Source organism: Homo sapiens, chromosome 7 (assembly GCF_000001405.40).
Source record: "Homo sapiens chromosome 7, GRCh38.p14 Primary Assembly".
Lineage (NCBI taxonomy): Eukaryota > Metazoa > Chordata > Mammalia > Primates > Hominidae > Homo > Homo sapiens.
In genome coordinates this window covers 75421047-75436268 of record NC_000007.14, presented here as the reverse complement: position 1 = coordinate 75436268, position 15222 = coordinate 75421047, and the positions used below count along the sequence as shown (strand labels likewise).

Below are 15222 nucleotides of genomic sequence, written 5' to 3'. Positions count from 1 at the left end.
ACTGTAGAGACTACAGTCTAAGTTTTAGGAGAGATAAGATAGACAGATCCTCTAGAAAGAGGAATGTAAAGAATTAATTCATAATATTCCAAATTCAAATTTATGGTGGCAGGATTTTTTATGTAATCTATTTGATTTTATATTTTTATGTATTACACCAAAAATGTTGGTTTATAATTACTTTGATCCTAGTACATGCAATTTCTTTTTTTTTTTTTGAGACGGAGTCTTACTCTGTTCCCCACGCTGGAGCGCAGTGGTGCGACCTTGGCTCACTGCAATCTCTGCTTCCTGAATTCAAGCGATTCTCCTGCCTCAGCCTCCCAAGTAGCTGGGATTACAGGCTCTGGCCACCACGCCCAGCTAATTTTTGTATTTTTAGTTTGACACAAGGTTTCAACATGTTGGCCAGGCTGGCCTGGAACTCATGACCTCAGGTGATCCACCCACCTTGGCCTCCCAAAGTGCTGGGATTACAGGTGTGAGCCACCATGCCTGGCCATGCAATTTCAAAATAGCAATATCAGTGTCATTATTAACACTGTCATTATTAAGACTGCTGAAGTCAGTTTAAGAATTGTGATTCATTTGGTCTTTATATCCCTCTGTGAATCCTAGGGACATGTAATCAATATATCATGTTTTAAAGTAATGTTAATTGTCCTTTGGGTACACCAACTTTATATACAGTGAGGTTCGTTTGTTCAGTATGTTTGAAAGTTACAGGGATTTCTATGTTTTCCTTTTTGAAATAGTTCTATTTTAAATTACATAAAATACTTGTTGTTTGAAAAAAATACGCTAAAACAAGATACACTCAAAAATTCAATTTCCATCCCTTTCCACTCTACATTTTTCCTTCCTCTCCATTTTTATTATTTTTTGATTATCCTTTGTTGTTCTTTTTTAAACGGTATGCGTATCAGTGTATCTGAAAACTGCCACCTTCTAACATTTAAGGTAGTAGACAGTATATATAGATTTGAACCTTGCTTTTTCACATAATAGACAGTTGACGTCATTCCATAGCAGTACACAGAAACTCATCTTTGGTCTTACAACTGCATAGGTACTCTAGTCCTCTATTGACAAACGTTGGGTTGTTTCAGTCTTCTGCTATCACAAATAATGCTGCAAAGAATACATTTGTTCATATGTCCTTTCACCCTTGGCAGTTTTGCCTCTGGAAAAATTTCTAGAAGTCAGATTCCGGTCAAGGGTTAAATGCGCATGTGATTTTGCTGGGTATTGTTAAATCCCCCTACAGGGCATGTACCACTCAGCATTCCCCTCAGTATTGAATGAAAGGGACCATTTCTCCCTGGCCTCACCAGCAGATTTGGTTATTGTAGCTCTGGGCTTTTACCAATTTGACAGGTAAAAAATAGTATCTAGGATGGGCATGGAGGCTCACGCCTGTAATCCCAGCACTTTGAGAGTCCGAGGCAGGCAGATCACCTGAGTTCGAGACCATCCTGGCCAACATGGTGAAATCCTGTCTCTACTAAAAATATAAAAATTAGCTGGGCATGGTGGTGCACGCCTGTAATCCCAGCTACTCGGGACGCTGAGGCAGGAGAATCTCAGGAACCCAGGAGGCACAGGCTGCAGTGAGCAGAGATAGCGCCACTGCACTCCAGCCTGGGCAACATAGTGAGACTCTGTCTCAAAAAAAAAAAAAAAAAAGCTAGCTGAGCGCCACCGTGGCTCACTCTTGTAATCCCAGCACTTTGGGAAGCCAAGGCAGGTGGATCACCTGCGATCAGGAGTTTGAGACCAGCCTGACCAACATGGCAAAACCCCATCTCTACTAAAAATACAAAAAATTTAACCAGGTGTGGTGGCGTGTGCCTATAATCCCAGCTACTTAGGAGGCTGAGGCAGGAGAACTGCTCGACCCTGGAAGGCGGAGGTCAAGTGAGCCGACCTCATGCCACTGCCCTCCAGCCTGGACAACAGAGTGAGACTCCATCTTAAAAAAAAAAAAAATAGTATTTAATTTTTGTCTCTTATGAGTAGTTTGATCATCTGTTCACATGTTGAATGATTATTTTCAGTTCTGTTTCCGTGAGTCTTAGTTCATATCCTTTACCCATTTTTCTGAAGGGCTACCAGCCAAATCTCACGTTCAAGAGTTTTTCCTATAGTAGAGAAACCTATTCCAAATGAAGCAAAGTTTTGAATGTAAAATAGAAGTGCAGTGTTACAAGAAACAGTCTCCTCACACGTTGCTAGTGGGAGTGTCAGTTGGTACAGCTCTCTAGAGGGCTGCGTGGCAGGAATTGTCTACATAAGAGATACACGCACCCTTTGATCAAGCAGCTTTACCTTTAGGAAGTTATCCTACACACATACTGGGAAATGGATACAAGGATTTAATGTAACATTGTTTTAATAACAGCAGCTTGGAAACAATCTACATGTTATCTTTTCAGGGAGCTGGTTGAATAACTTACAGTATTGGTGTAAGTTGAAATATACTATGTAACTATGAAAAAGAATAAGGCAACTGAAGACGTACTCATGAGAATGATCTCAAAGGAATTATATAAAAAACAAGGGTCAGAATTGTATAGTATCCTCTATTATTTGGGCTTTTAAAAATCTTTTGGCCAGGCACAGTGGCTCACGCCTGTAATCCCAGCACTTTGGGAGACTGAGGTGGGCAGATCACCAGGTCAGGTGATTAAGACTATCCTGGCTAACATGGTGAAACCCCGCCTCTATTAGGAATATTTTTTAAAAATTAGCTGGGCGTGGTGGCGGGCACCTGTAGTCCCAGCTACTAGGGAGGCTGAGGCAGGAGAATGGCGTGAACCCGGGAGGCGGAGCTTGCAGTAAGCAGAGACCGCGCCACTACACTCCAGCCTGGGCGACAGAGCGAGACTCCATCTCAAAAATAGATAAATAAATAAATATATTTTAATATGCATAAAATAATTCTTACAGGATATATTAGAAACTGGTAATTGTTATTGAGATAAAAAGGAAATTTTTACTGTACATTCTTTTTTTTTTTTTTTTTTTTTTTTTTGAGACAGAGTCTCACACTGTCGCTGGGGCTAGAGTGCAGCGGTGCGATCTCAGCTCACTGCAATCTCCGCCTCCTGGGTTCAAGCGATTCTCTTGCCTCAGCCTCCCAAGTAGTTGGGATTACAGGCTCTGGCCACCACGCCCAGCTAATTTTTTGTATTTTTAGTAGAGACAGGGTTTCATCATGTTGGCCATGCTGGTCTTGAACTCTTCACCTCGTGATTCCACCCGCCCTGGCCTCCCAAAGTGCTGGGATTACAGCTGTGAGCCACCGTGCCCAGTCTACTGTACATTCTTATTGTTAGAATCGGTAACGTGCAAATATTACCTTTCCTGGTTTTGGCTTTTTTAAGTAAAAAAGTAAAATTCCTCTGTCCCAGCGATCCGAGTCTCCATCCAGTAGGTACCCATTGTTAACATTTTTACTGTGTGCAAACACAGATAATACCCAGAATTTTTTGACTGTTCTACATAGCAGGGTCACAGCATATTTGCTTTTTAAAAAGCATCTTCTTTTCTCTTTTATCCATTACATCTTGCATAGCATTTTGTATCGTGTAATTTGCCTCATTCTTTAGATGGCCTTTTTTACTAGAGTATAATACACAGAAAAACAAATTGTAACCACCACTCAGGTCAAGTAATAAAACATTTTCATCACCAGAAACCTCCCTCCTGCCCACTCCCCATCATGCTTCTCCTTTCCTTCTTATTAGCACCTTTTATAGTGTACCCTGTTTTTCAATTTTATATAGATGGAAATAGAGTATGCATTCTTTGGTGTTTGACTTAACATTTTACTTGTGAGATGTGTCCACATTCATGCACATAGCAGTAGGTAATTCATTGTCATTGATGTATATACTGTTCCGCACTGGGAATATAACCACAGTTAATTTATCCATTCTGCCATTGGACATTTGGGTTTCCAGTTTGGAGCTATTATACATAATATTGCTATAGATAATTGTCTAAGTCTTTCGGTATACATAAAGTATTTGTACGTTCACTTTTAGTAGATATTGCTAACCTTTTTTTTTTTTTTTTTTTTGAGACAGATTCTCGCTCTGTCACCCAGGCTGGAGTGTAGTGGCGCGATCTCGGCTCACTGCAACCTCCACCTCCTGGGTTCAGCTATTCTGCTGCCTCAGCCTCCCTAGTAGCTGGGACTATAGGTGCAGGCGCATGCCACTGTGCCCAACAAATTTTTGTATTTTTAGTAGAGACAAGGTTTCACTATATTGGTCAGTCTGGTCTCGAACTCCTAACCTCAGGTGAGGCCTCTGCCTCCCAAAGTGCTGGGATTACAGCTACAGTGCAGTGGCACCGTATTGGCACTCACTGCAACCTCTGCCTCCTGGGTTCAAGTGATTCTCATGCCTCAGCCTCCCAAATAGCTGAGATTACAGGCATGCACCACCACACTGAGCTACATTTTAAAACTTTTAATAGAGATGGAGTTTTACCATGTTGGCCAGGCTGGTCTCAAACTCCTGACCTTAAGTAACCTGCCCACTTTAGCCTTCCAAAATGCTGGGATTACAGGCATGAGCCACTGCGCCCAGCTGCTAAGCAATGTATTAAAGGGAGTGTTTCAGTTTATATTCTTTTTTTTTTTTTTTTTTTTTTTTTGAGACGGAGTTTCACTCTTGTTGCCCAGGCTGGAATGCAATGGCACAATCTTGGCTCATGGCAACCTCCACCTCCTGGGTTCAAGTGATTCTTCTGCCTCAGCCTCCCGAGTAGCTGGGACCACACGCATGCACCACCACGCCCAGCAAATTTTGTATTTTTAGTGGAGATGGGGTTTCTGCATGTTGGTCAGGCTGGTCTCAAACTCCCAACCTCAGGTGATCCAACTGCCTTGGCCTCCCAAAGTGCTGGGATTACAGGCGTGAGCCACTGCACCCAGCCCGGTTTATATTCTTACCAGCAGTATATGAGATTTTTATTTATGTTGTTCCATATCCTCACCAACACTTGGTATTGCCAGTCTCTTTAGCCATTCTGCTAAGTGTGAAGTAATATTTCATTGTGGTTTTAATTTGCATTTCCCTGATTACTGAAATACCAACTGTTTATTGGCTATTTGTATAGCCTCTTTTGTGAGATGCCTGTTCAAATTTCTTGGCTCTTTTTTTTTTTTTTTTTTTTTTTTTTTGAGACAGAGTCTCGCTCTGTCACCAGGCTGGAGTGCAGTGATGCGATCTGGGCTCACTGCAAGCTCCGCCTCCCGGGTTCACGCCATTCTCCTGCCTCAGCCTCCCGAGTAGCTGGGACTGCGGGCACCTGCCACCACACCCAGCTAATTTTTTGTATTTTTAGTAAAGACAGGGTTTCACCATGTTAGCCAGGATGGTCTCAATCTCCTGACCTCATGATCTGCCCACCTCAGTCTCCCAAAGTTCTGGGATTACAGGCATGAGCCACCGCGCCTGGCCTCTTGGCTCTTTTCTACTAAGTTGTCTTTTTCTCAGAGATTTGAATATGCTTTTTATATATTCTAGATACAAGCTCTCTGTCATGTATGTGTTACAACAAAAGTGTCCTGCTCTTGCCATTCTACTTCCTTGTAGTTAGCATAGTTTGTGTAGTATTTAGGAAATCTTTGCCTGTCCAACCTAAGGTCATGATAATTTTCTTCTATGCTACCTTCTAGAAGCTTTATTATTTTATTAATATTTTCATATGTAAATCCATAATCCACCTGAAATTGATTTTTGTGTGTGGTGTGAGGTTGGGATCAAAATTAGTTTTTTTTGTTTGTTTGTTTGTTTTTTACTATAGAAATACCCATTTCTCTCAGCAACATTTATTGAAAGGACCATCCTTATTTCTCTGCAGCACTGCCTTTGTCTAATTTAAGTGTCCGTATATATGTGGGTCCATTTCTAGACTTTCTTTTGTTCCATTGGACTATTTTTCTTACTACCCTTGTACCAGTCTTTGTTTTACCCCTACCCTTATACTTTAAGTCTTGATAGAGTCAGTCGTCCCCCTTTCTCATTTCTTTTCAGGACTGTCTTGTTTCTTGGCCTTTTGCATTTTCATATAATTTTTAGATCAACTTGTCAATTTCCACACACACAAAAAAAAGTTTTGAGATACTGATTGGGATTGCCTTTCATCTACTGATTACTTTGGATGGAGTTAACATTGTTATAATATTGACCTTGTTTACTTCTAATCTATGAACATGGAATGTCATTCATTTCTTTATTTAACTTTTGAGACAAGGGGTCTTGCTCTGTGGCCCAGGCTGGAGTGCAGTGGCATGATCATAGCTCACTACTGCCTTGAAATCCCAGGCTCAAGCAATCCTCCTGCCTCAGCCTTTTGAGTACAGGCATGCATCACCACACCTAGCTAATTTTAAAAAACTTATAGTAGAGACAAGGTCTCACTGTGTTGCCTAGGCTGGTCTCAAACTTTTGAGCTCAAGCAGTCTTCCCACCTTGGCCTCTCTGAGTGCTGGAATTATAGGCATGAACCACCATGTCCCACCTCTTTCATTTATTTACATTATCTCTAATTCATCTCTGTAGAAGTTTTACTTCTCTTGTATTAGATTTATTTCTAGGTATCTGGTTTTTGTTTTGTTTTGTGAGATGGAGTCTCGCTCTGTCGCCCAGGCTGGAGTGCAGTGGCACAATCTCGGCTCACTGCACCCTCCACCTCCCGGGTTCAAGTGATTCTCCTGCCTCAGCGTTCCAAGTAGCCGAGATTACAGGCATGCGCCACCACACCTGGCTAATTTTGGAGTTTTAGTAGAGACAGGATTTCACCTTGTTGGCCAGGCTGGTCTCAAACTCCTGACCTCAAGTGATCCACCTGCCTCTGCTTCCCAGAGTGCTGGGATTATAGGCATGAGCCACAGTGCCTGGCCCTAGGTATATGGTTTTGATGCTATTATAAATAGTGTCTTCAAAATGTGATTGGCTGTGCTGGTGTCTAGAAATACAACTGATTTTGTATTCAGAAAGTTTGCTAAATCTGTATGTTCTTTAGGATTTTAGTACATACACTCATGTCTATGATAATGAGTTTTTCCTTCCCTCTGCAGTCTTATTCTGTTTATGTCTTACTGCACTTGGCTAGGACTTTGAGTTGAATAGACATAATAATAAACATCCTTGTCTTGTTATATCTGAAATGAGTGTGTACGTACAGTCAATGAAGTAGAGGAGTAATAACTTTTTTCCCCTAATTGTTAAACCAGTTGACCAGTTGTCTTCCAGTCCTAGCTAATCATTACAGTCACCTTTGGCTTTTTTTTTTTTTTTTCCTTGAAGAGACCTCACTATATTGCCTAGGCTGGTCTCAAAACTCTTGGGCTCAAGTGATCCTCCCACCTTGGCCTCCCAAAGTGTTGGGATTACAGGCATGCACCACCACACCTGGCTAATTTTTGTATTTCTAGTAGAGATGAGGTTTCACCATGTTGGCCACACTGTTCTCGAACTCCTGACCTCAGGTGATCCTCCTGCCTCAGCCTCCTGAAGTGCTGGGATTACAGGCATGAGCCACCTCATCCGGCCCCTTTGGCATTTCTGACCCTTGCTTGCTCAGTGATGTGTATCCCTCAGTGTCTGGAGCACATTGTGAACAAAAATGCAAGGTTTATGGTTTTGTTTTAATTTTATTACTTTAACTACAGATAGGGTCTTTCTGTGTTGCCCAGGCTGGTCTGAAACTCCTGGGCTCAAGCAGTTCTCCTGCCTCAGTCTCCCAAAGTGCTAGGATTACAGGCATGAGCCACTGCACTTGGCCATCTATGTGCTTTTAAAGTTCCACAGGTGGCTAAGCGTGGTGGCTCACACCTGTAATCCTAGTGCTTTGGGAGGCCAAGGCGGGCAGATCACGAGGTCAAGAGATCAAGACCATCCTGGCCAACATGGTGAAACCCCATCTCTACTAAAGATACAAAAATTAGCCGGCTGTGGTGGCATGCTCCTGTAGTCCCAGCTACTCAGGAGGCTGAGGCAGGAGAATCGCTTGAACCAGGGAGGCGGAGGTTGCAGTGAGGTGAGATCGTGCCACTGCACTCCAGCCTGGTGACAGAGCAAGGCTCCGTCTCAAAAAAAAAAAAAGTTCCACAGGTGACTGATGAGCCGTCGTGTGAGAACCAGCGAGGTAGTGTCAGGGATCTGAAGTGATTGAAAATGCCGCTTATATATTCAATCCTTGGATCCCTTTGATGAGTTTTTGTATTCTGCTCTTTTATATGCCTGTAATCCCATGTTTTTTAAACCATTGTGCTCTGGCCTTTCTTGCTGTTTGAGCGTAACTTCAACTGTTATTGCCGTGAGCAGTCTTCTCAAGCTCCTCCTGGGCCCGGCTTCCTGATGATGGCCTCACTGAACTGTTCTGCTGCTTACCACTTGTCTGAAGCTTCCTCTTTTCCCTTTTTGAACTCTTATTAAGCTTGGCTTCCTGTTTGTACTTATTAAGCTTGTTGGCTTCCTGTTTGTACTTATATGATGTAGCTGGTACTGGGTAAGAAATCACTAGCAGCTTTTCAAGTAGGAAAGACGGTCTGAGGTGACAGTTTAGTGGCTTTGTAATTAGGCTCAGCACTTACGAGACTATTTGCAGTGTCCGCTCTGTGCCATCTACTTTGCTGCTGGTCTGTGGAGGAAGCAGAGATGAAAACACCATCTTTGCTGTCAAGAACTCACCTGGTGGAAGAGGCAGATGTATGGATAATCATCACATGATGATAAATGCCATCGTTGTTGCAAAAGTCATAAATATTATGACAGTGCTTTTTTTGTTTTTGTTTTTGTTTTTTGTTTCTTTTTGAGACAGAGTCTCACTCTGTCACCCAGGCTGGAGTGCAGTGGCACGATCTTGGCTCACTTCAAGCTCCGCCCCCCAGGTTTACGCCATTCTCCTGCCTCAGCCTCCCGAGTAGCTGGGACTACAAGCACCCGCCACCACGCCCAGCTAATTTTTTGTATTTTTTTGTATTTTTAGTAGAGATGGGATTTCACTGTGTTAGCCAAGATGGTCTCCATCTCCTGACCTCGTGATCCACCCCCCTTGGCCTCCCAAAGTGCTGGGATTACAGGCGTGAGCCACCACGCCTGGCCATGACAGCGTATTTTTAAAATGAAGTTACTAAATGAAAAATCGAAAATTTAATGGAAGCAAGACTAAATTAGTTTACTGGGTTGTCTTCTTTAATTTACTTGTATCCTTTCCGTAGACAGTCTGGCACAGGTTTGAATGTGTCCTGGCTCTTCATTACTGAGGCTAATATATGCAAAAGTGTGTCCATCCCTTCTACCTTTATTCACATTCCATTACTTTTATAGACTTTTCTTTTTTTGCTTTCATAATTAATACTGGCAGTTGACTTTCTTTTCAGGGGTCTTTCTTCACAAACAAATTTTTTTCATTTTCATTTTCTATTTTTTTTTTTTTTTTTTTTTTTTTGAGACAGGGTCTCACTCTGTCACCCAGGCTGGAGTGCAGTGGGGCAATCTCAGCTCACTGCAGCCTCCTGAGTAGTTGGGACCACAGATGCAAACCACCACACCCAACTGATTTTTCAATTTTTTGTAGAGACGGGGGTCTCGCTATGTTACCCAGGCTGGTCTCAAACTCCTGGGCTCAAGCAATCCTCCCACCTTGGCCTCCCAGCATGCTGGGATTACAGGCATGACTAACCATTTAACCATAAAAAATATTTTTTTAGTCACTTAAAAAGAGACTTTGTCATGTTGAGGGTCAGATGCTAAGTTATCAGCAGGCTCAGTCATGTCCCTCTTGATTTTTAGCTGTGGAAGAGAAATGGCCCCAGTTCATCACCCTTCTCTAGCCCAGCCTCATCCCGCTCCCAGACACCGGAGAGGCCAGCAAAGAAAATAAGGTATTCGGCATTCTCCTGCAGTTTTCATTTGCTACGTGGACAGAAGGGGGTGAGGAAAGGTGGGAAACGAACCTGGCTCTTAGGCTTTGTGCTGCTGTGACTTGGAGAATCAAAGAAACTAAGTCCCTGAGAGGGACAATGCAGCACCCACCTGAACAACTATCATCCCTACAGTCTTGGATACTGACTCCAGTGGCCTCTGGCTGTCGCCTCCCACTCCAGCATGAGGGATCGGGTGCAAGCACAGAGGCCATGCAGAGTGGAGAGCAGAGAGAGTCAAGTCAGCGGGCAGTCGCCTTCAGGTTCTTGACTCGAGCTGATCCCCTAGGTGCTTGCAGTTGGCTGGAATGCCACTCCCTCAGGGATCACATCTGTGTCTAGAACTCCCAGGGACTTGGTAGGTTGTAAGTAAGGTTTGAAGATTATTGTTTTGTGCTTGTTTTAAGACAAAAACTGTCTTCATGGCCTCTGTGAACAGCCTCCCTTCATTCTGTTGGAATTTCCTGTTGACTTTTTTTATCCTGGCATACTGAGATCTTAAATGATGGTTGTTTTAGATGTTGGCCACTTGGTAGTTAGGAGGGTGTGAGAAATTATTTAATACTTCAGCCAAGAAGTCTTTCTAGACTAAATTGTTCCTTTTTTCCCAACAGAGAAGAAGAGCTGTGTCATCATTCCAGTTCTTCAACTCCATTGGCAGCAGACAAGGAGTCCCAGGGAGAAAAGGGTAGGTTGCTGAGCCAGGAGGAGGGGCTGCTGTTGGTGGTGGAGGTATTTGTGGAGGATGTAGAGATTAATACCTATTGAAAAAAGGTCTTGAGCATTGCTATGTCTAAGGCATGTTAGATACAAAGAGAGAGATTTCCTCTCCTTCAGAAGTTTATAGTCTGATGAGGGAGAAAGGCTACAGATGGGGGCTAACGATTGGATAGAGGTAAGCTCAGTTTGAGTCACCTGTGGGTGATCCCAGTAATTACTGCACAGTAAGCGGTTTGTGTGCGCGCCTTAATCTTACAAACACCATCCAAGCAACCAAACCATAGAAGATTGAATCTTTTCAGAGATACCATCATTGAAAACTCAGTGTGAAATGCGAAGTGGGTAGACACAACCATCCATTTCTGGAAGAGGGAAGGAAGCAAACGAGTCTTGATTTCTTTCTTTAGCTGCAGATACAACCCCAAGGAAGAAACAAAACTCGAATTCTCAGTCTACACCTGGCAGCTCTGGGCAGCGTAAGCGGAAAGTTCAGCTGCTGCCTTCTCGGCGAGGGGAACAGCTGACCTTGGTATGGTCTTGTCCATCTACTCCTGCCCTCCCCGGCTTAGCTCTCCTAAGTCTTAGGAACGCTAAGGACAAGTTTCTTCTGTTTTTTTTTCTAACTTATTTTTGTTTTTGTTTTTTGAGACAACATCCCTCTGTCACCCAGGCTGGAGTTCAGTGGCTCGATTTTGGCTAACCGTAACCTCTGCCTCCTGAGTTCAAGCAATTCTCCTGCCTCAGCCTCCCAAGTAGCTGGGATTACAGGCGCTTGCTACCACGCCTGACTAATTTTTTGTATTTTTAGTAGAGATGGGGTTTCACCATGTTGGCCAGGCCAGCCTCAAACTCCTGACCTCAAGTGATCCAGCTGGCTTGGCCTCCCAGAGTGCTGAGATTACCGGCGTTAGCCACCACGCCCAGCCTTCCCGTTTTTTCTGATTGGCCTGACTTCTTCTTTTTCTCTTTGGTAGCCTCCACCTCCCCAGCTTGGCTATTCGATCACTGCCGAGGACCTAGACTTAGAGAAGAAGGCTTCATTACAGTGGTTCAACCAGGCCTTGGAGGACAAGAGTGGTAAGGAGCACAGATCGTTGCACTCTCGAGAGGTTTCAGGTGTCTGTTTTCTTTGGTTTTATTTTGGTGTTTGGAAAAATGGGTTTCTCTGGGAAAATCCGAAGTAGAGTTCCATGTTTTCTTGTGGTCTTTCTCACCTGAGATATCCGTGTTGGTCTTCACGGGAACTGGACAGCAGGGACTACTGCAATTTAGGGCAGACATTCCTCCATGAGCTGTGCTGAGAGCCTGCTCTCCGACAGGCATGTGGAAAGAAGTCCCAGACAAGCCAGGACTGCTTCACCTTTCTTTCTTTCTTAGATGCTGCCTCGAACTCTGTCACTGAGACCCCACCTACCACTCAGCCTTCATTTACCTTTACCCTGCCTGCTGCTGCAACTGCCTCCCCACCCACCTCCCTCCTGGCCCCAAGCACCAACCCACTGTTAGAGAGCTTGAAGAAGATGCAGACTCCCCCGAGCCTGCCACCCTGCCCAGGTGAGCTGGAGTGGGGCCGTGGATCCAGCCTTCTGAGCAGCATCCCCGGCTTGGGTTGGAATAAGGGCGTCGTGCCTGTCAGTCGCTGGAGATTGCTCTGCAGGCCGAACGCACCCTGGCTCAGCACACCGGAGCGGGCCTACGTTTAACAGCGCCGGAGCCCACATCAGGAAGTGTTAGAGAAGGGGTGCTGCGACGCTCAGGATCTGAAGCCTGGCTTAGCTGCCCTGAGCCTCGCCTTCCTCATTTGTCAGATGAGAATGATCTTCCCGGTGCAGCACCTCTGAAGTGTGAATGTGGTGGCGTGGTCAGGATATCCTTGCCTGTCAGAACTACTGGTCCAGAACAACACTGCTTCCTTTCCCTCCAGCACTTTGAGGGCTGCTGGTGTTCCCGGCCCAGGCCTTCACGGCACTGCGCGCGCACACCTCTTTATCAGACGGTAACCTGGGGTTCGTACGCACCCTCCCTGCTCAAGGGCAGAGACTTCCCCATTCATAGTTGTGTGCTCTTAGCGCCTGGCAGGTGAGCTTAGTAGGCAAATAAAGTATATCTAGATTCATACGTGAACTTCAGAGTTCAGACAATTGGACTGTCTTAGTCTCTACACATTAGGCCCCCATTTAGGCCCCATTTTATCCCCTTCTGTCTGATGATCTGTGAGGTGGAAATAATGAACACTTCCTTGATTTACTGTACAGGCCTGTAGTGTAGACTTAGCTGAGTTTATTGACTGACTCTTGGATCCCAGGCTCTGTGGTAGGCGTGGGGAGGACGCTGAAATACTGAATACCATCATCTTTGAAGTGTTTATTCCAATTTCACATTTTCTATTCTTCTTCCAGAATCTGCTGGAGCAGCAACCACTGAGGCCCTCTCACCTCCAAAGACACCCAGCCTCCTACCCCCGCTGGGTTTATCACAGTCAGGGCCGCCAGGGCTGCTCCCCAGCCCCTCCTTTGACTCCAAACCCCCGACCACTTTGCTGGGGCTGATCCCTGCTCCATCCATGGTACCAGCCACTGACACCAAGGCACCTCCAACCCTTCAGGCAGAGACGGCTACCAAACCCCAAGCCACATCTGCCCCGTCCCCCGCCCCCAAGCAAAGCTTCCTGTTTGGAACACAGAACACCTCACCTTCCAGCCCTGCCGCCCCTGCTGCATCTTCAGCATCTCCCATGTTCAAGCCCATTTTCACGGCTCCACCCAAGAGTGAGAAGGAAGGCCTCACACCGCCTGGCCCTTCAGTCTCAGCCACAGCGCCCTCCAGCTCCTCCCTCCCCACGACCACCAGCACCACAGCCCCGACCTTCCAGCCTGTCTTTAGCAGCATGGGGCCACCTGCATCTGTGCCCTTGCCTGCTCCCTTCTTCAAGCAGACAACTACTCCCGCCACTGCTCCCACCACAACTGCCCCGCTCTTCACTGGCCTGGCCAGCGCCACCTCTGCTGTGGCTCCCATCACCTCTGCCAGTCCATCCACAGACTCTGCTTCGAAGCCTGCGTTTGGCTTTGGCATAAACAGTGTGAGCAGCAGCAGTGTGAGTACCACGACCAGCACCGCCACTGCCGCCTCACAGCCTTTCCTCTTCGGGGCGCCCCAGGCCTCTGCTGCCAGCTTCACCCCGGCCATGGGCTCCATATTCCAGTTTGGCAAACCTCCTGCCTTGCCCACAACCACCACAGTCACCACCTTCAGCCAGTCCCTGCCCACTGCCGTGCCAACGGCCACCAGCAGCAGCGCTGCCGACTTTAGTGGTTTTGGCAGCACCCTCGCCACCTCCGCCCCGGCCACCAGCAGCCAGCCCACTCTGACGTTCAGTAACACGAGCACCCCCACGTTCAACATTCCCTTTGGCTCAAGCGCCAAGTCCCCGCTCCCATCATATCCGGGAGCCAACCCCCAGCCCGCATTTGGGGCCGCTGAGGGGCAGCCACCGGGGGCCGCCAAGCCAGCCCTTACCCCCAGCTTTGGCAGCTCTTTCACTTTTGGAAACTCTGCAGCCCCGGCCCCGGCTACTGCACCCACACCTGCACCTGCGTCCACGATCAAGATCGTGCCTGCGCACGTGCCTACGCCCATCCAGCCTACCTTTGGCGGTGCCACGCACTCGGCGTTTGGATTGAAAGCCACGGCTTCCGCCTTCGGCGCTCCCGCCAGCTCACAGCCCGCCTTTGGCGGCTCCACTGCTGTCTTCTCCTTCGGTGCAGCCACCAGCTCCGGCTTTGGAGCCACCACCCAGACCGCCAGCAGCGGGAGCAGCAGCTCGGTGTTTGGCAGCACAACACCATCACCCTTCACGTTTGGGGGTTCGGCAGCCCCCGCTGGCAGTGGGAGCTTTGGGATCAACGTGGCCACCCCAGGCTCCAGCGCCACCACCGGAGCTTTCAGCTTTGGAGCAGGACAGAGTGGGAGCACAGCCACCTCCACCCCCTTCACAGGGGGCTTAGGTCAGAACGCCCTGGGCACCACCGGCCAGAGCACACCGTTTGCCTTCAACGTGGGCAGCACAACTGAGAGCAAACCTGTGTTTGGAGGTAAGGAGGGGCGTGGACTTGGGCTACCGGGCCGGACACTGAAAAGCTGTGCCTGTGAAGCCTGTGGTCTCGGGGAGCTTATGCTGTGGCAGTGAAGAGACAGGCACTGAATATAGAACTCAGTGAGATGCCAGGGCATGATACATGTTTTGCTAACGTAGTAATGACTGGAGGAGCCATTGTGGATTTAACTGGTCAAAGGCCTTCTGAGTACTTAACAATTGTAAGCTGAAGGTTGGGCGCAGTGGCTCATGCTTGTAATCCCAATATTTTGGGAGGCCAAGGAGGGTGGATCACTTGAGGACAGGAGTTCAAGACCAGCCTGGGCAACTTGGCGAAACCCTGTCTCTACTAAAAATACCAAAAAATTAGCCGGGCATGGTGGTACCCACCTGTAATCCCAGCTGCTCGGGAGGCTGAGGCAGAAGAATGTTTCAACCCAGGAGGTGGAGGTGGCAGTGA

At 46.6% G+C, this 15222-nt stretch overlaps 1 protein-coding gene across 1 annotated transcript in view; it reads left to right on the top strand.

The window, feature by feature from the left end:
- Window positions 1-15222, top strand: part of POM121C (POM121 transmembrane nucleoporin C) — a 69514-nt gene that overhangs the window by 50031 nt on the left and 4261 nt on the right. The window contains exons 8-13 of the mRNA NM_001099415.3: window positions 9816-9907; window positions 10561-10634; window positions 11074-11195; window positions 11641-11743; window positions 12044-12220; window positions 13066-14760. Coding sequence (NP_001092885.2) covers window positions 9816-9907; window positions 10561-10634; window positions 11074-11195; window positions 11641-11743; window positions 12044-12220; window positions 13066-14760 — 2263 coding nt within the window. The remainder of the gene's footprint in view (window positions 1-9815; window positions 9908-10560; window positions 10635-11073; window positions 11196-11640; window positions 11744-12043; window positions 12221-13065; window positions 14761-15222) is intronic.